Raw genomic sequence first — 27,190 nt, 5'->3', positions numbered from 1 at the left:
CGCTTCCTAGGTCCGCAGGGACAGGGGAAACCAGAGTGTTTCTCAGACAACCAACGTTACTTGAAGATTCAGGGAAAACTATTTGAGAGGGTTATTTTTATATTAAGATAATCACGAATATATTATAGAGTGGAAAATGCCTATTATCTTTCATTAAAGTAGCTTTTGAAGAAATTTTGCCACGCCCTTATAAACTACACCCCTCAACTCCAAAGAGTATGTATTTCACTCCTCCGATAGCATTGAGGAAGCCTCACTGGAAAATCTGGGCAATTATGATTGCTAGATGGAAGAACTCACAGACAGTGGTGACTTCTGGGGCAGGGAGGACAAGGACGGGGATTTCCAGGCTCACACTACACGGTGCCGAGTCTTTTTCCTGTGTAACAGGAAACAAAAGATAAAAAGAAAAACCCTAATAAAATTAAATACATGTGGTTTCAGAGGGAAAAAAACAAGAGTGTGGCTGGATGAGGGGTGGGTGGGAGTCTGAGTGCAGGTGAATTCTGGGAAGCACTCGGCGAGAGGACCCCTGCGCTCCAAGTCTGCGGGGCAGATGTTTGCCCAGGACAGGCTCACTTGGGTGAACGGGGGCCCTCCAGGATTTCTGGGGCAGATAGTGTGGGAAGAGCAAGGCTATTTGAGTCTGAGACCTGTGTCCTGGCTGTGAGGGCGTAGGTAAGCCATTCTAAACCCAAGTCCCCATGTCTGAGGTGGCCCTAACACTCTGTCTACAGATGGTACCGTGAGGTGAGAGCTACTGTATGTTACACGCCAGGTGCATTCCGGGTCCTCAGTAAGTACCACTCTCTTCCCCAGTGCAGCATAGTAGAAAAAATCTTTCAACACTGGCAGCAGTGGGAAACAGTAAAAGAAGGACTAGGGCCAAGAGGCCCAGAAACCAGAGCACCAATTATACACCAAGCTACACTAAGTATGGCCACAGGCACAAGAAGCAGCAGGCCTCTCGGACACCATGAACATCATCTCCCACCAGGGCTGGAGGAGGCAACCGGGCCTCCGACGTGTGATTACACAGGAAGAGTGAGGCCTTTTCAACCTAGTGTTTAAAGACACAACAGACGGGTAAGCATTTTGGTTATTTTTAGTTAAAGAAAAACAGCTTTCTCCAAGGGCGACAAAGTGAACTGAAGGTCAGAAGGAAGCTGGGTGCGGGCTTCCTGCAAGCTCTTGCTCCAAAACCTGGAAGTGAGGAGAGGGCGCTCCGGAGCTCTGGGGAAGGTTGGTGCACACAGGGGTTCCGTTGGTGGGGGAGAAGAGCCGCCAGCCCACACACGGTCACTGGATTGGTGTGAGTGGGTTCCAAGCGACTGCCATGTGCTAGTCCACTGACATGATTGACATTAACATTCTTGGGGGGCATTAAATTAAGGAATGACACAGGGAGCCAAGAGAGTGGCTTATTCGGTTGGATTCTGAATCACAATCAGGAAATAGTCTTTATCTGCAAAAGAGAAAAATGAAAAAAAATCACTAAATGTAAAATGAGAGAAAAACACACAAGAAAGCAAATAAACCATTAAATCACTAACCATAAAATGAGGAAGGGGAGAAAGCAACAAAAAGCATCAACGTTCAGCATCTCCAAATGCTGGGAAAACGGAAGATAAACCTTTAAGATTCCTGCAGGGGCTCCTGCAAGAGGGGCCTCCCCATACCGGGCAGCGGGCACTCTACAGTGTGTCGTCTCTTCTAATCCTCCCCACGACAGTGGCAGCAGGTAGGCAGGATTCTCACCCCTGTTTTCCAGGTGGGGGGACTCCAGTTCAAAGAGCTCCAATGAATTGCCTAAGGCCATGGTTGTCAAGCTAGCAGGCATCCCAACCACCTGGAGGGCTCTACGCCCAGAACCATCATTTAGTGGGGCTGGGGCAAAGCCCAAGAGTTTGCATTTCTCTAACAAGTTCCCAGGTGATGCTGATGTTGTAGGCTGTGGGAGGACCACTGGCTTAAGGTTACCCAGCTACTTAGTGTCAAAGATGGAATTCCGACATACTTCACTGGACTTGGGTAATGTCATTTTCTTTTTTCTCTCTCTCTTTTTTTCCCCTCCGCGAGACAGAGCAAGAGCTCTGTCACCCAGGCTGAGTACAGTGGTGCGATCATGACTCGCTGCAGCCTTGACCTCCTGGGCTCAGGTGATCCTCCCGCCTCAGCCTCCCATGTAGCTGGGACTACAGGCACACCCCACCAAACCTGGGTAAATTTTTAAAAAGTTTTTTGTAGAAGGTCAGGCGTGGTGGCTCACGTAGCACTTTGGGAGGCCAAGGTGGGCAGATCACTTGAGGTCAGGAATTCAAGACCAGCCTGGCCAACATGGTGAAACCCCATCTCTACTAAAAATACAAAAATTAGCCAGGCTTGGTGGCAGGTGCCTGTAATCCCAGCTACTTGGGAGGCTGAGGCAGGAGATCTGCCTGAACTTGGGAGGCAGAAGTTGCAGATCGCCTCACTGCACTCCAGCCTGGGTGATAAAGTGAGACTCCATTAAGAAAAAAAAAAAGTTTTGTACAGATGGGGTCTCACTATGTTGCCCAAGCTGGTTGCAAACTCCTGGGCTCGAGTGATCCTCCTGTCTCAGCCTCCCAAAGTGTTGGGATTATAGGTGTGAGCAACCACACCCAGCCAGTTAATGTCAATTTCTGTCACAAACTCAATTTGTTGGCTTTCCAGAACCTTCTGAATAAGAAAATTTCAAAATGGGACAAAGCAGCCTGGATTCCAGCTCCAGGGATCTGGCCCTGTAAGGAGGAATGTCCACCATTAAATCACAGCAAGTCCAAGTCCTTGGAGGTGAGCCTGAGTGCCTCCCGTTTCACTGAAGAGGTAACTGGAGAAGTGGTATTGTTGCATTTAGGGCTTGATGATTTGGAGTAAAAGACACTGATGTTACCGATTGTGCCTATTTTTATCAGTGGCTTGTTAATTATTTGTTTTCATTAGTGATTTTTATATATGCAGATTTACCCACTTAATCAAACTGCAAACATTGATCAAGGCTTCTTTGTGTCCAGGTCTGGGCCACCCACTTCTCACACGGCACCTCAGTGAATCCTCGAGTCACTCTGAGAACACGGAGCCTCAGAGAGTTAAAGGGCTTGCCCAATCCAGGGTAAATCCACAGGTGGAGTGGGGACAGGGACCTGGGTTTGACCCCATACTCTGAACTGCCCTGGTCTGCTGCCCCCTGCTGAGCATGAGCGAAATGGCAGGACCTCAGCCAAGTCACTTTGTGGCTGTTCAGAGCCAAGCCTAAAGCTTGGTTCTTCCCACGAAGATGGGCTGTTGCAACAGGGAAGAAACAGAAATGAAGTGACTAACAGTTTCATGGCTAACCAATCTGCATACATAAAAATCACTAATGAAAACAGAAATAATTAACAAGCCACTGATAAAAATAGGCACAATCGGTAACATCAGTGTCTTTTACTCCAAATCATCAAGCCCTAAATGCAACAATACCACTTCAGGTGCTTTGTGAGAGGTAGTGTGTGTTGAAGGTTGTGTAGGCTGAGTTAGTTACCTCAGCTTTAATACTAGTGAAGTTAATAAGTGAAAACTAGAAGTCTGTTTTTTTTGTTTTGTTTTTTGAGACTGGGTCTCGCTGTTGCCCAGGCTGGAGTGCAGTGGCGTGATCATGGCTCACTGCAGCCTCAACTGCCCAGGCTCAAGCGATCCTCCTGCCTCAGCCTCCCGAGTAGCTGGGAATACTGGTGCCACCATGTCCAGCTAACAAAAGTTTGTGTTAAAATGTCTTGGCCGGGCATGGTGGCTCACGCATATAATCCCAGCACTTTGGGAGGCTGAGGTGGGAGAATCGCTTGAGCCTAGGAGTTTGACACCAGCCTGGGCAACATAGTGAAACCCTGTCTCTACCAAAAAAAAAAAAAAAAAAAAAAATGCTGGGTGTGGCGACACATGCCTGTGGTCCCAGCAGTATACTAGGGAGGCTGAGGCTGCAGAGAGCCATGATCGCACCACTGCACTCCAGCCTGGGCAACAGAGCTAGACCCTGTCTCAAAAAAAAAAAAAAAAAAAAGCCTGTTCACGTGGGCGGTTCTGGGCCAGGGTGGGGTGAATGTGGCACACATGTGGAGAGCCACACTGTCTGGAACACCTGCTGCTGTCTGCAGCCTGGGAAGCAGTACCTCAGCTGGATGGGGTCAGGTCAGGCAGGTGGGAAGGCATGGATCTCCCTCCCGGGCCAGGCTGCTCCAGGCTGCCCACGATGTGTAGGGTGCTAACTACAGTCTCAAACGGGCACTTCCAGCAGCAGCCAGGCCTGCTCTACGCCTGTGGCCACCCCTGGGTCCTGTGTTCTGTAGCCATCCTGAGGCAATTCAGCGCCAGGGCCTCCTAGGCTCTGCGTGGTGGCTCCTGACCACAGGAGTTCTGGCACCAAAACCCAATTATTTTTTCTTGGCCACATAAAAGTGGGTATGTCAAAGTGTCAAATCACTGGTTTTCATCCTAAAACTATGCCCCACAGACATCCCTGACCCCGTCCCCACTGCTGACCCCACTTCTGACCCATATCAGTGGGGTGTCAGCAGTGGAGGGAGGTTTACAGAGTCATTCATTTATTTAATCAATGGATATTTGCTAGATGCTTACTATGTGCTTACAAGCCCCTGCCCTCATAGAACTTACTCTCAAGTGGAGTAGATGGCCTTAAAAATGCAGGTAAGCATTTGGTGACGAGGAAGGACTTGAGTGGCAGCAGTGAGGCTGAGCCAAAGAAGCATGCTCTGTAAGACAAGCTCAGCGCGCCACCGTCCTCCAGCACAGCGCCGCATGTGTGTGGGAGAGAGACAGTGTGACTTGAGAGCACGGGCGCCCCCTGCAGTGCTGCCAAGGTGAGGGACTGGCCACCTCATCCTCCTCCACTGACAAGGTTGTGGGATCTCCAGGCCTGTGAACCCCAAGGAGAACCCCCTACTTGGGAGCTGCCCATTCTGGACTCAAGCACCAACCACAGTCATGGGCTCTGAATGCCTGTGGGTCTTCAGGGCCAAATTGGAGACGCTGCCGCTGCCAAGTTGAGACCTGAATGGCCAGGAGCTTTCAGATGACACTGTCCTTCCAGAGGAGACATTCTCAGGAGCTTTATGCCAAGGGACACTGTCTGTGGAGAATTTGTCTGATTTGGAGACCAAGTAATTTGCTCCCTTCCCCCATACCCTGAACTCCCAGTGGGCCACTGGGGAGCACAAGGTCTGCTGTGCACAGGGTGAGCAGGGGGACTGTTCCCGGCCCAACTTTTTTTTTTTTTTTTTTTTTGAGACAGAGTCTCACTCTGTTTCCCAGGCTGGAGTGCAGTGGCGCGATCTCAGCTCACTGCAAGCTCCGCCTCCTGGGTTCAAGTGATTCTCCTGCCTCAGCGTCCCAAGTACCTGGGATTACAGGTGTGCGCCACCATGCCCAGCTAATTTTTTTATTTTTAGTAGAGACGGGGTTTCACCATGTTGGTCAGGCTGGTCTTGAACTCCTGACCTTGTGATCCGCCTGCCTTGGCCTCCCAAAGTGCTGGGATTACAGGCGTGAGCCACTGCGCTCCATCCCGGCCCGACTTTTGGGGAGTGAAGCTTTGTCCTCTGCAGTCACACAACATGACAACCTGGGAGGAACTGCAGTTTAAATCTGATTCCAAGGCTTTTTCCCCCAACCCAGGTCAACACACTCAACCAGGCAGGGTGGCTCAGGACATCAGCACAGCACAGTCCCCTACTCGACACTTTACAGATGTGGATTTGCAGGTGTTCTGCGACTTGCCCAGGGTCATGCTTGTGGGAAGCAAAGCTGGGAAAACAGATTCTGTGCCTCCTGCAGTCTTTTCTCCCCGATGGATCAGGCATTACACACAGAAGCGTGATTTTGGAATAATAGACTCTGGAGTTATTCTTATGTTCTTCTCTGTGACTGAACTGCTCTGTCCCCACCCCTCTAGGGAGTGTCCCAGGGAGCCTGTGGGCTGCTGTGACTGGCTCTATAGTTCTTTCCTGCCCATCCTTCCAGGCCTGGTGACAGAACCTATGCTGGTCTGCTGCAGGGAGTGGCTGACCTCCCATCAAATTACCTCAGAACTCTGTGGCCAGCCTCCTTGCCCTCTGTGTTGCCAGTCCAGAGCATTCAGTGTCCCCAGACCCCCCACTGCCTTCCTTTATCCAGGTCCTAATCATAATCCTATCACCTCCTGCCCTAAAAACCTCTGCTTGCAAGATCAAGTCCATGCAACTGAGTTAGGTGTTTGTGGCCCCTTCTAAACTGGACCAAAGCCTCACCTCCCACTCCTCCCCACTCACATCCTGATGCCCTAGATAAGCGGCACTGCAGCGGGAGTGCACCATCACGCGCATACGTGACGCACGCACACTCAACTATGTGGCTCAGCCAAGAAAAAGCAGAGTGAGAAAAAAGTAATAATGCAAAGACGGCCCTGGAGGCTCTGCCTGCCACCCCAGTCCATGAGTGAGAGCGAGGGAGCCGGGCAGGAGATGTGGCTCTGTTGCTCGCTCCTGTGCTCCCATCCTTGTGGGCTCCTCCCAGAATGAGCATCTCCTCACCCTGAGAATGATCCTAAGGACTAAACACAGGCCTTGGTTGCACCACAGAGCCCCCAAATGCAAGGCAAGCACCTCGCGTAAAGGAAACAAAGCAATCTGCTCCCGTGCGGCAGGAAAAGCTGGCTGTAAGGGGCCTAAAGACAGGCCTGGCCTTTACAAGTGGGCAGAGAACATGTTTTCAAGGATAAAATGATACAGTACTTTTGCTTTACATTTTGGAGAAGAATCACTGAATATTCTTCCAAACGTGGCTTTCCGCCCCTCCGCCTTGCTCACACTGCTTCCTGGTGCCCTTAAGATTCAGCTCCAGTGTCCCCTCTTCTGGGAAGCTTTTGCAGACAGCCCCAGACAGGCCTGGCCACACCCTCCTCTATGTCCCAAATGCCTTTGAGTTTTCTCCTATCAAGGAAGGGGAGACACACATGATGCTCACGTGTCTGTCTATCTCAGGAGACTGGGGTTACCCTCTGGGGCCGGTCCCTGGGAGGATCTGCTATGGGACACCAGCTGGAGGCTGGCTAGGCAGTGAGGCAACAACCCAATTCCTTCAACTCCTCGGGCCCTGCTTGGATCCTCTGGAGACACCACTGTGCCAGGACTCCTGATGAGCCACAGAGAATGTGCCATGAGGTCTGTTCCTACATGGGGAGGTAGAAGACCCCTTACCTGGTGCAACCATAATTTCATTTTTCTTGGAGCGAATTCGAAGGAAGGTGAGATCGTTCTGGGGGTCGATGTCACGCACGGTGCTCCGTGCCTTCAGGATGAAGCTGTGCATGAGGCTGGCATACTGGGTGGTGGTGGGGTTGTCCATGGTGCTCTTGATGGGAATGCCTGAGGGGAGAGCAGACGGAGACTGAGAGGATGTGGAGCCCCTTCTGCCGAGCTCCCACCCACACCCCTAATTGGGGAGAACTGGAATAGCAGTTCTCAGTCAATGCCACCATCCGCAGAGGGCTTGCTATGTGACAGGCATGGTGCTGAGCACCCGAAGCATGCCAGTGCCATGCCCTAGAACTACTCTGTGGGTGGCAACACCATCTCATTCGCCCATGAGGCAACAGGAGCTCTGAGTGATGAGGCGACCTGTCTGTAGTCACACAGTGGGGCCAGGATTCACATGCAGGCCTGCTGGCTCACTCCTGGGTTCCTTTCCCAGGGCTGATTGGTTCCCAGCAGTAAAAGGAGAGACTAGCTCTGATTCATGCAGGGACACAGATTTAAAAAACTAACAAAATCAGGTTTTTATTTTTTTGTCCAAAAAAAGAGAGACTCTCATTCATAGTGCTTAGAATTGAAACCAGGAAGCGCTTTTACAAATTTCTTTTTTTTGAGACGGAGTCTTGCTCTGTTGCCCAGGCTGGAGTGCAGTGGCTCACTGCAACCTCTGCCTCCCGGGTTCAAGTGATTCTCCTGCCTCAGTTTCCCAAGTATCTGGGATTACAGGCGCGTGCCACAGCACCCAGCTAGCTAATTTTTGTATTTTTAGTAGAGACAAGGTTTCACCATGTTTGCCAGGCTGGTCTTGAACTCCTGACCTCAGGTGATCCGCCCACCTCGGCCTCCCAAAGTGCTGGGATTACAGACGTGAGCCATCGCACCCTGCCTTACAAACTTCTTTTATTTATTTTATTTTATTTTTTGAGATGGAGTCTTGCTGTGTCGCCCAGGCTGGAGTGCAATGGTGCAACCTCGGCTCATTGCAACCTCCGCCTCCCAGGTTCAAGTGATTCTCCTGCCTCAGCCTCCTGTGTAGCTGGAACTACAGACGCGCACCACCACACCTGGCTGATTTTTGTATTTTTAGAAGAGACGGGGTTTCACCATACTGGCCAGGCTAGTCTTGAACTCCTGACCTCATGATCCACCCGCCTCGGCCTTCCAAAGTGCTGGGATTACAGGCGTGAGCCACCGCGCCCGGCCACAAACTTCTACACACTAAAAAGTAGAAGAGAAAAAGTCAGCTTGTGCTGGGACATAACCATCATGATTTCCACCCAAGGGAGGCTTGGGTAGCAGCTATAAACACACTGTCCACATGGCCGTGCCAAGTTAAAGCATGTTTCTATGTTTGTACAACAGGCACAGAAACATGGAACATGTTGACCCTTTGTAAACAGCACTGCTATCTCTTTCAAAGAGCCCACTAGGTGAGCGGTCCACAGACCTCCCCAGCCCCTACTGTTGGCTACTTAGGGGCTGGGTTTGTTACCAGTATAATTAACTGGGCAGTGAACATCACCGTATACCAAGCCTTTTGTTTGAGGACTGTTTCCTTGAGATGAACCATTAAGTGGACTTATTCACTGGACGGTGCCTACTGTCACAGAGGTGAGGCATGCGGCTCACACTGAGCCACCGCAGGTCATGATTGGGCCAGCAGGTGCCTGTGAATTGCCTGTGACATATGAGCAGAAGACTCCATCCATGGGACCCCAAGAGCCCGCCAGCTGACAGGCACTTGAGGAATGTGGCACAAGTAGCTCCTCACATAGAAGTGGCCAGCTTTGGGGCCCAGGACCCTGCTCATCCTGCCCACAGCTGCTCAGTCTAGGGATCGGCCAAAGGCAGTTATCAGGCCGACTGGCTGAGTGGTAAAGAAACTGGCTCAATCTTGTCATCCTAGGGCACCAGGAATGTGAGGGTGGGCAGAAGAGGACATGGTGGCAAAAGAAGCAGGTGAGTCGCAGAGGCTTTTTGAGCCAAGTCAAGTCAGGAGAACAGGTTGCAGTCATCACTTGTCTGTAAGAGACAAGATGACCAGATCACCAGGGTTGCTGCTGGCTCCTGGATGGCCACAATGTGCATGGCAGGGCCCCGCAAAGCCTTGCTCTACAGTTGAAGCTTCCTGAGGATGGCAGTAATGAATGCGTCCATTATAATCTAACCACGATGGGGCGGCGATGGGGTAGGAGCCACCACGACTCTTTCTGCCCACCCTCGCATTCCTGGGGGCCTAAGAAAACAAGACTGGGCCAGTTTCTTGCCACCCAGCAAGTCAGTCTGATGAATGCCTTTAGTCGTGTCCTAGGCTGGGCAGCTATGGACCAGATTAATAGGGTCCTGGGCTCCAAATTGACCTAGGCTTACACCCAGCTCTGCCCTTCACAGCTATGCAGCCTTGGGCAAGTGATGAAACCTCCTGAGCTTCCACTGCCTTATCTGTTAAATAATATCTGTGCTTCAAAGTGCTGCTGGGCGGGCTGAATACTGCTTAATTCATTTAAGAATGTTTAGCAAGAGTACACTTAATAAATGTTAATAAACACCACTCACACAGTAAATGCCATTTCCATTCATCTGAAGGGATGTGACTATTGCTTAAACCCGCAAGGGCCTTGCTAAAACACAGCCCACCCACCGAGGGCCAGGACCAGAGCCCAGGTAGAGCCCTGGGTTGGCTGTTCTTGCTACCTGGCCGGGAACCCGCCCCTTAGCTCACCTTTGGGCCCCAATGGTAAGAGGCCCACAGTCCCAAGACTTGGCATGGTTTGGGTGATCAGAACCCCTAACCTTCTCTTTTTACACACCACGAAGCCACCTTCTCACAGATCCCTCTGCCTGGAACTTTCTTTCCTTCCCCTATTCACTCATGATTTCCACTTTGGTCCCTGAGGTCTCCATCTTCGGGTGACACTTCCCATCCCCACTGGCACCATCCCAGCACCACGCAGTTTTTCCAGGTTGACACTGCACCATTACAAAGTGATCATTATTCCATCTCCCACCACAATGTAAGCTCCCCAAGGGCTTGACCAAGTCTGATTTGCTCACTAGTGTCCCTAGAGAGACAGCATTAAGCTTTTATTGCTATTGGTAAGTGAGTGGTCAAAGGGTCTACTTTTACTAGTTTGGAAAGATATTGGCATGAGGAGTCTGATCACATCCATATAAGCGGGAGCTGTGTAAAACAGACAAGAAACTAAACATCTACTGGCTCACTCCAAAAACAAAAGAAAACGTGGAAGTACAGGGCCAAGGACCAAAACCGGGAAGAAATTAAAACAAGGACAAAGGTTAATTCCAGATTCACTGGATGCTGGAGCTGGAGGAGACCTGAGACGGCCTAGTTATTAGGCCACCTGCTCCCTGCCTCTGTCTTCACAAATGAACACTGTGTAGCCTGCAGAAGTAGCTGGTTATCTGGGAGGCACGATTTCTAACTTGGGGCTCTGATCTACTGGGATACACCCCCAGGCCCTTCCACCACACCCAGTCCCTTCAAGTGATAAAAAACATCTAAAAAATTCAACAGATACTTTAATCAAACACCAACTCTGGGCCAACACCATCCTAAGTACTACAGACAGCAGTGAACACAAGAGACCAATCTTTGCCTTCATGGGACTTACACATTTAAGCCTTTTATTCTGCCTGTGTGGGTAGCAGCAGAGGATGGCAGGGGGTCTGGAGAAGTATAAATGGAATGAAACTTCCCTTGCGTTTTCGGTAAAGCTGCTTAAACTCAGACTTTTATTATGAAACACCATTTGAATCTAGCCAAGGCAGAGATGTCAAAAGGCAGTGGCAGATGGCTCGAAAGTATTGGGACTTGGGTATGTCATAGGTTCAGGGGCAGGAGCAGGAGCAACCACTCTGGCTGGGCTGGGGTGATCAGTGAGGGTGTCCTCAAGAAAGAGGCAGCTGAGCTGAATGTTGGGGATGGGTAGGAAAACCCTAGATAAGATCATAGGCATCCCAATACAATTATCCTCAAATAATCATCTTTAATGGAAGCTTCCAGAGGGCTTAAAGGCCCCATGGATCAGTGGGAAGTGTGACCAACTCAGATTCTGTGTTCTGACCACGTTCATTCACAGCTGGGTGACCTTGGGCGGTTCCCCACACCTCTCTCAGCTTTGGGTTTCTCATCTGCAAACTGGGCAAACCCTTGCCTCGCAGGGTCACTGTGTGAGATGTAAACGAGACACTGATGTGGGGGCCCTGAGAATGGGACGCAAGTTAAAGACACACACACACTAACTGAGACATTCATAGGCATTTCATGCCAGGCACTATTCTAAAAGCTTCCCCTAGAGGAAGGCAGAATTATGACCCACATTTTACAAATGAGAAAACTTAACAGAGAAAGTGGCTTATGCCCAAAACCACATAGCTGATAAGTTAAGTAGGGCCCAGATTCAAAGCCAGGTGGGCTCATTCTGCATTCCACGTTCTCAGCTATGGTGCAATCAGCCCCATGAGTATACAAAAAAGCAGCACTCACTAGTATCCAAAAGGTAAGCAGCTAGGGCTTCCCAGTGAAAAGGCTTGGCTTTAGGGGCAGTTTTAAGGCAAGAATGAGGGCCTCTCCTTTGTGAGTTCATGTGGAAGCCTGGGGGTCACAGCTGGGGCTGTTGGCCCCTGGGGTTGTCTCCTTGGAGTCAAAATGTCCAGTCCCAGAAGACAGTTTCTCTCTTAGTGACAAAAGTCTTTCAGGTCTTAGAGCAAGAAGTGCCCAAAAGAGATTCCCTGGACCATCACAGGACTCGAGGCAGTTGAGGGCTGAAGCGGGGAAAGGAGTTGCCTCAGGCCACCCAACTGATCAGGGGCAGCCCTGAGCAGGGGGCCTGCTCCTGTCTCCACAGTGTCCCAAGGGCTCCCAGCCTCCTGTAAATGAAATGACCACATGGTTTAATCAGAACTAGACAGGGCTGGGGAGCACGTTCTGTCTAGCTCTGTGCTTGCCAGGGCTCTGCTGACTTGGAAATCAACATTTTTTTTTTTTTTTTGAGACCGAGTTTCATTCTTGTCGTCCAGGCTGGAGTGCAGTGGTGTGATCTCGGCTCATTGCAACCTCTGCCTCCTTGGTTCAAGCGATTCTCCTGCCTCAGCCTCCCGAATAGCTGGGATTACAGGTGCCCGCCACCACACCAGGCTAATTTTTGTATTTTTAGTAGAGACAAGGTTTCACCATGTTGGCCAGGCTGGTCTCGAACTCCTGACCTCAGGTGATACGCCCGCCTCGGCCTCCCAAAGGGCTGAGATTACAGGCGTGAGCCACCACGCCTGGCTGGAAATCAACATTCTATCCAAGGACACAGCACCTCCACTTTGTTGCCCTTGATGGCTTTCATTCTGCTTAAGTAGGAATTGCTGAGAACTCTGCTTCTCCAAAACAAGGCCTAGACTGAAGACACACATAAGAGGCTCTCTAAGAGCACTGAACAAATTAGAGCCCACTGAATACACTGGGCTAGAGAATTTGGGGGGCCCCGCAACCGGGCATGGCCTGACCTCTTGGGATGTCCAAGTGTGTCTGTAAAGGTGGCCGCAATAATGTCTACCCTACGAGGCAGCCAAGAAACACATAAACAAACCGTGCCTGGCAGCACACCAGACATGTGACAGACACAGGCACTGCTGTACCACTTCCACCCACAGGGCTGCTGGTAAATCCTGGCCTGTGGGAGCAGCCCCTGGGCTGGGCACTGAAGGGCCTACACACTTCATTGTTACTTTTTGTTTTTTTTTTTTTAAAGAGACAAGGTCTTGCTCTGTGCTGGAGTGCAATCAAAGCTTTGAGCAAGAAGCCTTGAAGCAAACTGCAGTCTTGAACTCCCGGGCTCAAGGAATCCTCCTGTCTTAGCATCCTGAGTAGCTAAGACTACAGGCGTGTGCCACCACACCTGCCTAATTTTTCTTTTTTTTGTGTGGAGTTCGGGGTCTCACTACATTGCCCAGGCTGGTCTTGAACCCCTTGGCTCAAGCAATCGTCCTGCCATGGCCTCCCAAAGTGCTGAGAACAGGTGTGAGCAACCATGCACCACGCCCAGCCATTATAACAATTATTAATCTACTGATTATGGCATCTAACATGCTTGCAAAAATTTCAGGTTTTTTCCTTTGGGATTATTTCCTCTCAACACAGTCCTCAAGAATTACCAAATCAAAGGGGCTGATGGCAACACCCACTGTGGTTGGTTCATTTAACGTTCACTGACCTGACTCTGCGGCCTGTGGTGAATGACACGGGAACAGAGGTGAGTCAGGCATGGTCCTGGTCTTCCTTCACTGGTCACGCTGCTCTATCAGCAGCAGTGTCTCAGTGGACTCCTCTCCTCCCAAGTCTCACATAAACTGGTTTATGTTATTTTTGTAAACTCCAGTAGGGTAGTTTTTTTTTTTTTTTTTTTTTTTTTTTTTTTTTGAGACGGAGTCTCGCTCTGTCGCCCAGGCTGGAGTGCAGTGGCGGGATCTCGGCTCACTGCAAGCTCCGCCTCCCGGGTTCACGCCATTCTCCCGCCTCAGCCTCCCAAGTAGCTGGGACTACAGGCGCCCGCCACTACGCCCGGCTAATTTTTTGTATTTTTAGTAGAGACGGGGTTTCACCGTTTTAGCCGGGATGGTCTCGATCTCCTGACCTCGTGATCCGCCCGCCTCGGCCTCCCAAAGTGCTGGGATTACAGGCGTGAGCCACCGCGCCCGGCCGGCTACTCCAGTAGGGTAGTTTTTAAATTGGCCAAACCCCTTTCCAAATTAAAACCAATGTAGAAACATGAACTGATGGTTCTTAGTGTGTGTGCTCTGACTGAAGTGGAGGACAGGAACCCCAGCCTCTACCTCTACTCCCAGGGTAGCACAGGACCCCTGGGTTTAAGGACCACAGCCCTGAAAACATGATCTGAGGCAGTCTCTCCAAGGGAAGGCCTTCGGAAGGAGACAGAACTGCTGTGAATCTTAGGCCTGTGGCTCTCACTGCAGCCTCTTCTGATTAGAATCTATCCCCTAAAGCAGAATTTTCTAAACCTGTCTGATCATAAGAATCTCCTGGGGTGCTTCGTAAACACACAGATTCCTCAGGTCTTGCTTTGGCTCTAATAAATTAGACTTTTTGGTGCAGAGGCCTGGAAAGCTATGTTTAACAGGACCCCCGGGTGATTTCAAAGAATGAATACGTGTGGGAAACACTGTGGCCTAGAGGCATGAAGCATGTGGATGCTCCCAACCCAACAGGGGAACCCAATCAGGTAAATCAGAGTTTGTATGAACAAATGCCTCACAGCTCAAAACAGATGGTGACGATACTGTACTAAATGCTTTACGCTGTTCATTCTTAGTTACTCTTCAACTTATAAGGTAGATATAAGTATTATCCCCATTTACAGGCTTAAGCGACTTGGCCAAGGTCACAAAGCTAGTCAGGAGATGAGGCAGAATTCAAACTCACAACTGCTGGATTCCAGAGTCCCTGTCCTTACTGCTGCCTGGAGCGTGAGGGTCTGGGGGCCATTCTGGTTCTTTACAGCCTGGCGCGGGAGAAAGCACCCAAGCGCACTCAGACGGGCTTGGATTTAAATCTCGACTGTGTGATGGTAGGCCGATCAATTACATTTCTAGACTCAGTTTTCTCCATTGCAAAATGCAGACGACAGGGCTGCACCAGCCAGAATCTTGGCACAGAGCGGGTATGTGATAAATGCTAGCTCCCTTCCTGTCCAGTGCAGTCTGGGAAAGTTAGTATCTGTACACTTCTACCTACACAGATACCACTCAGAAAGGGTTGTTGGGGTGGAGGGGAGCTGCAGGCACAGAGGAGTTAACTAGAGAACTATCCAGCCAATAAAGCAGAATCAACACAAATGGGGATGTAATATCCACTTAATGGATTTACTAAAAAGTAGAAACAACAAAATTGGGCTAATGAACATTGTCGTGGCACTTAATTTGTTTATGTAAACCATGAAGCAATATTTTAAAAAGCTCAAGTGTAAACATATGCCCAAGGGTAACAACTATGATTATGGTCCTCTGGAACTGTGCTGGACGAGGCTGAGTAAGCATGGAAGACTGAAGTGTGATCTGTCAGGGTGGTGGGATTGAGCGGATTTTCCCTTTGTGAGGACACTGGAGGTGGCTGGTCTGAATGCAGTTTACAACTAATTGCTCACAACCAGTTACCGATTTCTTTGTCCCTTCTCCACTCCCGCTGCTTCACCTGACTAGCCTTAATGAAAAAAAAAAAAAAAAAAAAAAGAACACTGGAGGTGTTAAAAATTAAAAAGGCCTAAAATTAGATCAGATTCATGAAGGGCTTAGTGAACAGCAAGTGCTATGCTGTGTTATGGCTGCTTCTGGGCCTGCCTGGGTGCGGGTCATGGCGGGAGGGAGGGCGTACCTTCTGTGTTCACGACGATGATTCCCTGCACTCCCTTCTGGCTCTGCAGTCGCTTCAGTGTCTCCTCCACCTCTGCCTGCCAGAAAACAAGACCAAGGTTAGGAGAGGCCGATAGGCAGGATTAACTTCCTCATACCCCAGGCAGATGAATCATACGTTTGTCTTCCAACAACAAACAAGTAATACTCAGGCACCTGGCACACCCTCAAAGTTCCCCAGGCTGATCTGACGTGCTCCTCCGGCCACCACCAGTGCCCAGAGCATCCGCTCACACCCCCACGCAGGACAGGGCTGCTCCTGGCGCTCTGCCCACCAGGCACTATTATCCCACCCTCCTCAGCTGTTGGGGAGCAGAATATAAACACCATTCCCATGTATATACATGTCCATGACTCACATATTTGGCATAGCTGGGGGATGGGACTCTGTTGATTTAAGAAAACTCAGAGAGTAGTATCTAACAGGAAGACAACACTTTGTCATTTGTGGCCCAAACAGCACATGAGGATAGACTCAGTGACTGCGGCAGGCATCTGAGATAGTGTGATGCACAGCACTCAGCTGTAAGAAGTGTGCCTTGGGAAGGGGCTCATTAATCTTGATTACCCAGAAACTGCTCTGGTGGGCTACTCTTGCATATGGCATCTGTAAGTGGAGGGGCAGTCGCAGTTCGGGTCCTCATTCTGCCATGCCAGGCCTCCTGTCACTCCTGTCCTACCCTTCCCTCCACTCTCCAGCTCCGTGACACACCTCCCTATCTCTACATCTTTTTATCCCACAAGGCCTCTTCTCTGCTGAAATCCAACAAACTCCTCTTGACCATCTAAGACATCATCTCCTCCGCGAAGCCTTTACTGATCCCCCAGTTGATGGAGTCTGCCTACGTGTGACTCCCCAAATCCCTGGGTGTGCCTCTCTGGGACATGCATTAGGTACTATGTCCATTTCTTAGAGACTCTAAAAAGGTCTGTGGAGTAGAAGTGTGATAAACACCGCTTAACTGAACTAGACTTAATTCTTCCTGTGGATGGAAACTAGCCCTGAGGTATACCTGTTCTCAGGCGGCCCCTTCCAGACTGGTCTAGAATCCAGTCAGAAGCCCCTCAAAGGCTGAGAGTTGTTAGAAACAGAGGCTCCATTCACCAAAAGAAATGGGGGGGGGGATCCTCAACACTGGGTGGAGACAGCACAATGAATTCTTGTTTTTCTGGAAGGCACAAGGCTGACAATCCAGTCACTGCCACCCACTCCCCTGTGACAGAATACTCTCGAACACTGGAGGGAAGGGTAAACAAGCTCCTCCTATAAAGTGGCAAATGGGGCCGGTGCGGCGGCTCATGCCTGTAATCCCAGCACTTTGGGAGGCCGAGATGGGCGGATCATGAGGTCAGGAGATAGAAACCATCCTGGCTAACACGGTGAAACTCCGTCTCTCCTGAAAATACAAAAAAAATTAGCCGGGCGTAGTGGCGGGCGCCTGTAGTCCCAGCTACTGGGGAGGCTGAGGCAGAAGAATGGCGTGAACCCGCGGGGTGGAGCTTGCAGTAAGCCGAGATCGCACCACTGCACTCCAGCATGGGCGACTGGGACTCCATTTCCAAAAAAAAAAAACAAAAAAAAAAGTGGAAAATGGACTTATGCCTCTAAGATCTGGAGCCTGGGTACAATGACAGGGCTCTGTGGACGTGAGAGTACAATGCAGTGGGTCATGCGTGTATGAGATCGAATGTCAGTCAACACACTCACTGAGCTCCTACTGTATGCCAACGGCTATTCTGAAAGGGAGGAGTGGGGCACAATAGTGGTCACTGCTGGACAGTACTCACTGGACAGTACTCATTCTACCCTGCTCGCCCTCCTGGAAATTCATCATGGACCAAAGTACAGTGACATTTGCAATAGCAGAATGCAGAAAGAACTAAAAATGCCTAACAATTAGGGAAAAGGCCAAGTAGATTATGGAACATCCACTAATAGGAATACACATATTAACCATGGTGATTAGACCATGTTATACCATCACAAAAGGTGTGTGCTATAATGTTAAGTGAAAACAGCAAAATGCAAAAATAAAGTGCTTTGGTGACTGCAATCACATGAAAACAAAAGGTTACAGGAGATTATGAAAAAAGAGCCACATTAAGGGCAAGGAATTATAGAAAGGTTTTATTTTCTTTTTTTCAAAACACCCTTTTTCATTCTACTGTATTGTTTCTATTTAAAAACATTTTAACCCCCCATCTATGCATCCAAAAGAAGTCTATGATACAGGGGCCACAAGGCTCTGATACACTCAATGTTGTCAGAATAAGATGTAAGAATAACTTGGATGACAATTTAAGACAGCTCAATCTGCAATCAACCCAGAAAGAAAGGGGAAAGAAAGTGAAAACCGAGATGTCAGAATCTAAATCCAAAACAGCCCCCAGAGATTGGAGAATGGGGCTGAAATGAAAAAGATGAAATTTCTTAAGACTGCTATTCATTTAGTAACTACATGGCAACCTTCCATATGCCAGACATTGTTCTAGGCCTGTGATGATGCAGTGAACAAAATATAACAAAAATCCCATGTCACGAAACTGACATTTGTGGGAAAGGACATTAAATAAGCAAAAAGAAGTAAAACATAAATGTCAGCTACAGCAGGGAAACGGGACCTGGAATGCAGGGGTGATGGGAATGTGAAATACATCATCAGAGAAGGCTCACCAAGGCAATAGTGAGTAGACATCTGAAGGAAATGAGGGAGTTAGCCATGCCGGTTTCTGGGGAGTGTTCCAGACAGCACCAAGAGCAAGCACAAAAGCCCTGGGGTGGGCAAGCATCCGGTATGTTCAGGGGGAAAAGCAAAGGGGCCACTGTGGCTGAAGGGCAGGGAGCAGGGGAGGGACAGCAGCTGGGATCCGGGACCAGACCACAGACGGCCTGGCAGATCAAGTGTTGACCTTGGTTTTCACTGGGCGTGATTCATGGAGCCACTGTCAAGTTTTGAGGTAAAGAGTGACAAGACCTGATGCTTCCAAAGGACGGCTCTGGCTGCTGTGGGGAGAAGGGACAGCAGGGGGCGAACACAGCCTGCGGAAGCCTCCTACCCCTGCCCTGCCAGGTGCTGCTCTCGGTCTGAAGGAAACAAGCTTCCCTCCTTCACTCACTGCTTGATGTAACTACCTCCCAACCCTTTGGACTCAGCTCCAGAGCCCGCAGGAGGCTTCTCTGACATCAGCCCCTCTACTGGGCACCGAGGCCCCCAGCCTTCGCAGCACTGACCACAATGCAGTGCAACTGTTTAGGTCACGTTCATCTCCTCCTCCAGACGCAAGGCACCCTGGAATCAGGAAACCAGACCAGACTTTATAGCCCCAGTACCTCGCATAGGATAGGCTCAATAAATACTGAAGGAACAAATAAAAAGCATTTCTGCAACTATGTTTCACGAAATCAACCTTTTTAAGTACAGGAGGGGGACATGGCCTCACAGTCCACAGTGTGAAAAAGAGCTAAGGTTTAGGTGATCTGAAACTCAACGAGAACCAGATACTAAGATCTGGCTGTTTAAAAGTAAACATGGGCTGGGCACAGTGGCTCATGCCTGTAATCCCAGCACTTTGGGGGACCAAAGCAGGTAGACTGCTTGAGCCCAGGAGTTTGAGACCAGCCTGGGCAACATGGTGAAGCTTCGTCTCTACAAAAGATAAAAAAAATTAACCATGCGTGGTGTCGTGTGCCTGCAGTCCCAGCTAGTTGGGAGGCTGAGGTGAAAGGATTGCCTGAGCCCAGGAGGCCGAGGCTGCAGTGAGCCATGATCGCGCCATTGCACTCCAGCCTGGAAAACAGAGTGTAAGACTCATCAAAAAAAAAAAAAAAAAAAAAAGAAAAAGAAAAAAGAAAGAAAGAAAAAAGAAAAGTAAACACACATCTCACACATCTATCAGGAATGGGAGGACACATAGGTATAATTTCCCTACTCAGCGCCTACTATGGGTCATATATTGCTTTCAGACACATGCTCTCTTCTGAAACTCCCATTCATGGGTTAGTATGATCTCCATGTTAGTGATGGGGAAACAGGTTTGGAAAGGAGAAGGGTTTTGCCCAAGAACACACTGCAGGTCAACAGAAGAGCTGAATATACTGGTGACCACAACTGAGGAGGTCCCTGCCCTCAGGGAGCTCACATTCTGGTGAAAGAGACTTAAACAAGTGAGCAAGATTCTTGCAGGATACAGGGACTAGGCTGTGGGGCAAGGGATGCTACTCTGGCTAATGTGGTCAGGAACACCTGAGGAGATGTAATCTTTTTTTTTTTTGAGATAGGGTCTCACTCTGTCACCCAGGCGTGCCATGGTTCGATCATGGCTCACTGCAGCCTTGACCTCCCAGGCTCAAGTGATCCTCCCACTTCAGCCTCCCGAACACGTGGGACTACTGATGTGTACTGCCAAACCCAGCTAATTTTTTGTAGAGATGGGGTTTCGACATGTTGCCCAGGCTGGTCTTGAACTCCTGGGCTCAAGTGATCTACTGCCTTGGCCTCCCAAACTGTTGGGACTACAGGCGTGAGCCACCATTCTCGGCCATAAGTATGTCATCTTTAAGCCAAGAATCAAATGATGAGAAAGAAATGCACTCTGGGCAATGGGATGATGGAGACAAGGTTCCCCAATTCTCTAGTTCCCAGATGCACATTCCTGACACATGGAAAAACAAGCAGCAATAAAGATCCAGGAGGATCCATTGGCTCAGCATAGGAGGGATGACCACTGGAAGCAAATGACTGACAAAGAACTATGACCAATTTGACCACTAAACATAAAACTTCTGTATAAGAATAACTAATCTAACAGGATAGAAAAGTATTTGCATCAAATATAACAGACAAAATAAATAAAAAAAAAACACAAAATGACTAAGAACAATAGCAAGTCTCTAGTAGGTAGTGCACAAAAGAATACTAGTAGAAAATATGCCTACGAGAAATTACAATCACATCAAACCATGGTCATCATCCCTCACAAACAAATGAAAAATTCAGCTGGGCGTGGTGCTCACACCTGTAATCTCAGCACTTTGGGAAACTGAGGTGGGTGAATCACTTGAGGTCAGGAGTTTGAGACCAGCCTGGCCAACATGGGGAAACCCTGTCTCTACTAAAAATACAAAAATTAGCCGTCATGGTGGCATGGGCCTGTAATCCCAGCTACTCAGGAGGCTGAGGCAGGAAAATTGCTTGAACCTGGGAGGCAGAGTTTGTAGTGAGCTGAGATCGTGCCCTCCAGCCTGGGCAACAGAGTGAGATTCCATTTCAAAAAAAAAAGACAGAAATGAAAAATTATAGCAATGCTGAGGTTTATTTTTAAATGCTGGCATTGTTATTACAAAACTGGCAGGTGCAAGGGCAATACAATCTTGACAAAGCTACAGGACAATATATTGCAAGAACCATAAAAGCACTGGTCCTTCCACCTCAGAAATTATTTTCCTAAGAATTTTATCCTGAGGAAATAATCTAATAAGTAAGTTAAAATGAAACAAAACAAGATATTCACAGAAGCATCATCACAGCACTATTTCTACTAATTAAGAAATGGAAGCAGCCAGGTATGGTGGCTCATGCCTGTAATCCTGGCACTTTGGGAGGCTGAGGCAGGCGGATCACCTGAGGTCAGGAGTTTGAGACCAGCCTGGCCAACATGGCGAAACCCTGTTTCTACTAAAAAATACAAAAATTAGCTGGGCGTCATGATGCACACCTGTTAATCCCAGCTACTCAGGAGGCTGAGGCAGGAAAATCACTTGAACCTGGGAGGCAGAGGTTGCAGTGAGCTGAGATTGAGCCACTGAACTCCAGTCTGGGCAACAGAGTGAGACTCCATCTCTAAAACAAACAAACCAAAAAGAAATGGGAGCAACCCAAATGTACACAGGTAAGATATTTGGCCAATTATGGTACAACTATTTCACCGAGTATTATGTAGTCACTAAGTAGTTAATCACAAAGATGATATGACAACAAGGTTAAATGTTTTTGGATATTAAAACAACAAAAAAAGAAAAAAATCCCCCCAAAACTCAGCATGCATTATCTTGGAAAATATGCATATGTGAACAAAAGAGGAAGGAGAACATACAAAGATGAAAATAGTTATGTGGCACAGTGAAACTGGACGAGGAGAATTATATGTGATTATTTTTTAATTTTATTTATTTATTTTGAGACAGAGTCTTGCTCTGTTGCCCAGGCTGGAGTGCACTGGCCTGGTCTCGGATCACTGCAACCCCCGCCTCCCGGGTTCAAGCGATTCTAGTGCCTCAGCCTCCTGAGCAGCTGGAATTACAGATGCACGGCTTCCGGCTACTTTTCGTATTTTTAGTAGAGACAGAGTTTCACCATGTTGCCCAGGCTGGTCTCCAACTCCTGACCTCAAGTGATCTGCCCACCTTGGCCTCCCAAAGTGCTGGGATTATATGCGTCAGCCATTGTGTCCGGCCAATTATAGATGATTTTTATATCATTATTCTAAAGGTCAGTTTCCACCTAAAATGTAAAATATGCAAGCCAAAAGTGCCACTTGTAGAAATCTATCCTACATAACCACTAGCATGAGTGCAAAAAAGACAAGAACAGTTACTGCAGCAGTGTCTGGAATAAAAAAACTATACACCACCTAAATGTACATATGGGACTAGGATACGATACAGACCTTAAAAAGAATGAAGTGGACCTGCATATAATAACACAGAAAAATGTGTGATATTTTTAAGTGAACAGAACAAGTTGCAGAATAAGATATATACATATATATCTTAAAGTCAACTTCTGTTTTCTCTTATTTTTTTCTCACCCAGGGTGGAGTGCAGTGGTGCAGTCACGGCTCACTGTAGCCTTGACCTCCTGGGCTCAGGCGATCTCTCCACTTCAGCCTTAAAGTAAAGTTAACATATACAAATATATATATATTCCAGTTTCATCTAATAAACAGCTTATACATAAATGTGCTTATGCACCAAACACATCTGGAAGGAAACACACCCAACTGCCAACAGAAGTTGCCACGGGGTAGTAAGATGGGGACCACATAAACTTTCTATATTATATCCTCTGGTACTGCTTCAAATTGTTAACATACATGGTGGTTTACGCCCATAATCCCAGCATTTTTGGAGGCGGAGGTGGGCGGATCACCTGAGGTCATGAGTTTGAGACCAGCCTGGTCAACATGGTGAAACCCTGTCTCTACTAAAAATAGAAAAAAAACCCTGTCTCTACCAAAAATAGAAAAATTAGCCAGGCATGGTGGCATGCTCCTGCAGTCCCAGCTACTCCGGAGGCTGAGGCAGGAGAATCACTCGAACCCGGGAGGCAGAGGTTGCAGTGAGCTCAGATCACACCACTGCACTCCAGCCTGGGCGAAAGGGCAAGACTCTGTTTCAAAAGAAAAAAAAAAAAAGTTAAACTAGGCATCTAAATTTGCATTGCTTTTATGAGTATAACCACGGAGTAGCATAATACAGGTTCTAGAAAGCTACAGTTTAAGTAAGAAAAAGGGGGGCCATATAAGTGCTTGTATAGATGCATAAGAAACTAACAGCTGGGTGTGGTGGCTCACGCCTGTAATCCTAACACTTTGGGAGGCCAACGTGGGTGAATCACTTGAGCCCAGGAGTTCAAGACCAGCCTGGGCAACATGGCAAAACCCCAACTCTACAAAAAAAAAATACAAAAAAATTAGCAGGGTGTGGTGGCGTGCACCAGTAGTCCCAGATACTTGGGGAATTAAGGCAGGAGGATCACTTGAGCCCAGGAGGGTCAAGTTTGCAAGAAAAAAAAAAAAAGAAACTAACAATGGTTGTTTCTAAAGGAGGAGAGACTGAGACTGGGGGTTAGGAGAGTGGGAATTTTATTTTTCACTTAGATCCTTTTACATCATTTATTTTTTTACTGTGTGCAAGTATTACCTGTAAACAATCCTAAAATTCGTATGGAACCACAAAAGACTCAGAAAAGCCAAAAGAAGCCTGGACGAAAAGAACAAAGCTTGAGGTATCACACTACCTGATTTCAAAATATACCAGAAAGGTATAGTAACCAAAAGAGCATGGTATTGGTATAAAACACAGACCAATGGAATAGAATAGAGGACCCAGAAATAAATCCACTTATTTACGGCCAACTGATTTTCGACAAAGGCATCGAAAAAACAAAACAAAACAAAAACAACAACAAAAACGAAAAAAAAAACCTACCATAAATCAGCAATACCACTACTGGGTATTTATTCAAAGGAACGGAAATTAGTACATCAAAGGCATCCCTACATCCTCATGTTCATATTGCAGCACTATTCATAATAGCTAAATTATGGAATTAGCGTCCATCAATAGGTAAATGGATAAAGAAAATGTGGGCCAGGCGTGGTGGCTCACGCCTGTAATCCCAGCACTTTGGGAGGCTGAGGCGAGCAGATCACGAGGTCAGGAGATCGAGACCACCGTGTTGAGGCGGACTAACACGGTGAAACCCCGTCTCTACTAAAAATACAAAAAATTAGCTGGGCGTGGTGGTGGGCGCCTGTAGTCCCAGCTACTCGGGAGGCTGAGGCGGGAGAATCACTTGAACCTGGGAGGCGGAGGTGGCAGTGAACTAAGATGGTGCCACTGCACTCCAGCCTGAGCGACAGAGACACACTCCATCTCAAAAAAAAAAAAAAAAAAAGAAATAATGAATGTTTAAGGTGATGGATATTCTATAATAAATATAGCCTGATTTGATCATTACACATCATATGCATGTATCAAAATATTACATGTATATCTACAACATAAATGTGTACAACTATTATATATCAATTTTTTTTACAGCTTAAGAAGTGATGTGAAAAATGAAGTTATACATATTTGAAGCATTATTACATGTTTGTAATGATGTGGAGATATTGTGGTGTAATAATGAAAAACACAGAACCCACAATTGCACATTCAATAGGGGCTAAACTGTATAAACCAAAAACAAGCAAAAAAGACTAGAAGTCATATGACTACTGTAAGTGGTTGCCTCTAGGTGATGACACGGTTTCTTTTTTCAATTTTTTTATTACAAGCTCTAGATTTCTAAATAAGATTTTTGAAAAAGTAATATATTCACATGGCTTAAAATTTGAAACTTTTTCAAATTTTGCCCAAGCTGTGAGGATTACAAACACAAAACCTGTAACGGCGTTGAGAACCCACAGCTGCAGCAAGCAAGGTAGAAAGCAAGCTTTGGGATCCCCAAGAGCAGACCCCGCCCGTTCCTGACTCTGGCACCCAGTCCCAGCGGCTAGAAAGAACCACGCCGACAGAGTGGCGGCCGTCAAGCTTCTAGGGTTCAAATCCATCTCCACTATTTCCTGGGGCAAAGCACTTGGCTTCTCGGGGCGCTGAATAACAGATATGTATAACAAAATGGGACTAAAGATTGTATCTACCTCACAGAGCTGGGAGGAGGCGGAGGAAATACAAGATACATAAAGTGCTTGGCAGAGCCTGCCACAAACTGAGCTCCCGGGAAACGTTGCCAGGGTTGCCATCGCGCACCAAGGCCCCAAAACTCTAGGCTGCAGGGCCGCCGCCCACCCCTCGCCCATCATCTCTTCCTGGCCGAGGCTGGGCTCCCGCTTCCGGTCAAGGGGCAGCGGGATCCGGCGGCCCCGCCTCGGTCAGGCTTTAGAGGCCTCCGCCGCCGGGTTCCACCCTCAAGTCGGCTGGGGCCCGGGCCCGGCCACGCCCAGCCACCACCGATTCCCTGTCCGGAGCTCTGAGATCCCCTCATCCTCGGAAGACTGAAGGCCTGGCGTGGGGTGGTGGGCGGCCGCCAGCCACAAGACCCCGGCGCACGCTCACCATTTCCGACCGATCCGGTAGCCCCGCGTAGCGAACACTTAGCGAGTCCTGTGCCTTTCTGCGCCTGCGCAAAGGTTTCTGTCAAAACGGACAGCTCTAGCTGCCTATCAGGAGCCAGCGTGAGGCGGGGGCGGGCGAGCCGATCTTGGCTCCGCCAGGATTCTTGGAAAATCTGCTTTCCACTGTGGCAAAGCGAAAAGCTAAGGAGCAGTGCGCTAAGCTGTGGAAAATTCCCAACTCCAGCCGTGCAGAAAAGATGCTGGTTCTGGCTGGACGCGGTGGCTTACGCCTGTAATTCCAGCACTTTGGGAGGCCGAGTCGGAAGGATTGCTTGAGCCCAAGAGTTCGAGACCAGCCTGGGCAACATGGAGAGACCCCTTCTCTACTAAAAAATAAACAAAATTAGCCGGGCGTGGTGGCGCGCTCGTGTAGTTCCAGTTACTCCAGAGGCTGAGGTAGGAGGATCGCCTGACCAGGAGTTCGAGGCTGCAGTGAGCCGAGATTGCGCCACTGCACCCCAGCCTGGGCGACAGAGCAAGAGACCCTGACTAAAACAAAACAAAACAAAAACCATGCTGGTTCTCGGTATCGGAAGAGGCTTTCAGTGCTGGTTCTCGGTATCGGAAGAGGCTTTCAGCTCTCAATGGAGGTCTAAGCTGGTTCTGGAGTCCCTGAGTGGAGCGTGGTGGGAGGGTATGAAGGCAAGTGGGACGGTTGCTGAGACCCGCTTTGCGCCCAGACTGAGCCAGAGAGAGGCCCAGGGCCAAAATGCGCTTCGGGATCGGGCAGGCCTGGGGTGGGGCTGGAGTCAGGTACCTCGAGTCTCCGGGTAAGATGCCGTGCAAGCTCGGAGATGAATTGGTTAGGGCTGGCCTGGGAGTCTTTAGAATCCGAGCTCAGCCCCGCCTCGCGTTACCTAGCAGAAGGCACTTCACATCTGTGTGTTCTGTCTTGTTCTCACCTCTGAAAGGGGGACTCTTCCCAGAGCCCTATGTTGTCCTGTTCCGGCAGGCCGCAAACGTTTCTGGGTCCTCTAGGAGTAAATAACTTCTGTTAAAACATGCTGCCGTTTAGTGAACCCTGTGCCACATTACTGTGCTGAACACGCACATAACGTTATCTCCGGTAGCTTCAGGGAAGTATCGGTAACCTCGATACTTTATAAATGCTGTTTCTCCCAGGCACTGTAGCTTGCTGGATTCAACGATGATCTAACTCCAAAGTTTCATTCCACAGTAGCTGCTCTTCAGTGAGGAAGGATTTGGTTCTCCTTCCAGGAGTGTCTGCATGTTAAGAGGATTGACTTTACTGCGAAGAAACCTAGCAGACACCACCGTAACCAGATCAAAGTTAGTATTACTGGCAAGGGGAGATATTGATGCCGTGTGCCCCGATAAAAATGCGTTAAGGGCACATCACCTCCGAGTCATTTTCCACAAAAACTCCCAGCCTTAAACCATGAGAAAATTTCACTAAATCCAGTGTGAGGGATGTTCTACAAGATACCTGTACCCCGCCCCCGCCCCCCAAAATCTCAAAGTCATGAAAGCAAGGAATGAATGCGGAACTGTCACAGATTAGAGGAGTAAGGAGAAAGAAAAATAAC

The 27,190-nt window shown here is 48.6% G+C and overlaps 1 protein-coding gene across 14 annotated transcripts, besides 8 other annotated features; it reads right to left on the bottom strand.

Annotated features, from left to right (window-relative positions):
- Positions 1 to 1,087: 1,087 nt before the first annotated feature.
- DYNLRB1 (dynein light chain roadblock-type 1) lies at positions 1,088 to 26,444 on the bottom strand. Of its 14 annotated transcripts, none has more exons than NR_168131.1 (5): positions 25,585 to 25,624; positions 22,548 to 22,626; positions 15,703 to 15,778; positions 7,251 to 7,418; positions 1,088 to 1,465 (listed from the first exon to the last, which is right to left on the bottom strand). NR_168131.1 is itself a non-coding variant. In NM_001382365.1 (5 exons), exons 2-5 carry the CDS (start codon positions 25,585 to 25,587, stop codon positions 1,422 to 1,424), a joined length of 291 nt encoding a protein of 96 aa, NP_001369294.1. In that variant the 5' UTR covers positions 25,588 to 25,648; positions 26,401 to 26,444; the 3' UTR covers positions 1,088 to 1,421. The 14 variants fall into 14 exon arrangements, 5 of the variants coding, with proteins under 5 accessions (NP_001369294.1, NP_001369296.1, NP_054902.1 ...); NR_168133.1 differs by having other exon boundaries at positions 15,703 to 15,774; NR_168139.1 differs by having other exon boundaries at positions 15,703 to 15,772.
- Positions 3,189 to 3,298: a silencer, noted in NCBI's record as "silent region_12837". NCBI's record gives its function as "represses an Ori minimal core promoter by ATAC-STARR-seq in GM12878 lymphoblastoid cells {active_cell/tissue: GM12878}" and the evidence as "EXISTENCE:reporter gene assay evidence [ECO:0000049][PMID:35858748]".
- Positions 15,228 to 16,427: an enhancer, noted in NCBI's record as "CDK7 strongly-dependent group 2 enhancer chr20:33113424-33114623 (GRCh37/hg19 assembly coordinates)". NCBI's record gives its function as "activates an origin of replication core promoter dependent on BRD2, BRD4, P300/CBP, MED14 and CDK7 cofactors, with strong dependence on CDK7, by STARR-seq in HCT116 cells {active_cell/tissue: HCT116}" and the evidence as "EXISTENCE:reporter gene assay evidence [ECO:0000049][PMID:35650434]".
- Positions 18,609 to 19,108: an enhancer, noted in NCBI's record as "H3K4me1 hESC enhancer chr20:33110743-33111242 (GRCh37/hg19 assembly coordinates)". NCBI's record gives its function as "activates a minimal SCP1, AML or CMV promoter by ChIP-STARR-seq in naive H9 embryonic stem cells {active_cell/tissue: H9 hESC(naive)}" and the evidence as "EXISTENCE:reporter gene assay evidence [ECO:0000049][PMID:30033119]".
- Positions 24,939 to 25,804: an enhancer, noted in NCBI's record as "H3K27ac hESC enhancer chr20:33104047-33104912 (GRCh37/hg19 assembly coordinates)". NCBI's record gives its function as "activates a minimal SCP1, AML or CMV promoter by ChIP-STARR-seq in primed H9 embryonic stem cells {active_cell/tissue: H9 hESC(primed)}" and the evidence as "EXISTENCE:reporter gene assay evidence [ECO:0000049][PMID:30033119]".
- Positions 25,093 to 25,272: an enhancer, noted in NCBI's record as "active region_17767". NCBI's record gives its function as "activates an Ori minimal core promoter by ATAC-STARR-seq in GM12878 lymphoblastoid cells {active_cell/tissue: GM12878}" and the evidence as "EXISTENCE:reporter gene assay evidence [ECO:0000049][PMID:35858748]".
- Positions 25,623 to 25,732: a silencer, noted in NCBI's record as "silent region_12836". NCBI's record gives its function as "represses an Ori minimal core promoter by ATAC-STARR-seq in GM12878 lymphoblastoid cells {active_cell/tissue: GM12878}" and the evidence as "EXISTENCE:reporter gene assay evidence [ECO:0000049][PMID:35858748]".
- Positions 26,193 to 26,432: an enhancer, noted in NCBI's record as "active region_17766". NCBI's record gives its function as "activates an Ori minimal core promoter by ATAC-STARR-seq in GM12878 lymphoblastoid cells {active_cell/tissue: GM12878}" and the evidence as "EXISTENCE:reporter gene assay evidence [ECO:0000049][PMID:35858748]".
- Positions 26,543 to 26,602: an enhancer, noted in NCBI's record as "active region_17765". NCBI's record gives its function as "activates an Ori minimal core promoter by ATAC-STARR-seq in GM12878 lymphoblastoid cells {active_cell/tissue: GM12878}" and the evidence as "EXISTENCE:reporter gene assay evidence [ECO:0000049][PMID:35858748]".

Source organism: Homo sapiens, chromosome 20, assembly GCF_000001405.40.
Source record: "Homo sapiens chromosome 20, GRCh38.p14 Primary Assembly".
Classification (NCBI taxonomy): domain Eukaryota; kingdom Metazoa; phylum Chordata; class Mammalia; order Primates; family Hominidae; genus Homo; species Homo sapiens.
Note: the sequence above shows the minus strand (reverse complement) of the source record. Positions and strands in the feature narration are given on the sequence as shown.

Bases quoted from the DNA above. Each gene is read 5' to 3' on its own strand.
- DYNLRB1 (NM_001319157.2), bottom strand. The intron at 7,419-15,702 runs GTACGCCCTCCC...CTCTCCCCTCAG, and splicing joins CATCGTCGTGAACACAGAAG to GCATTCCCATCAAGAGCACC.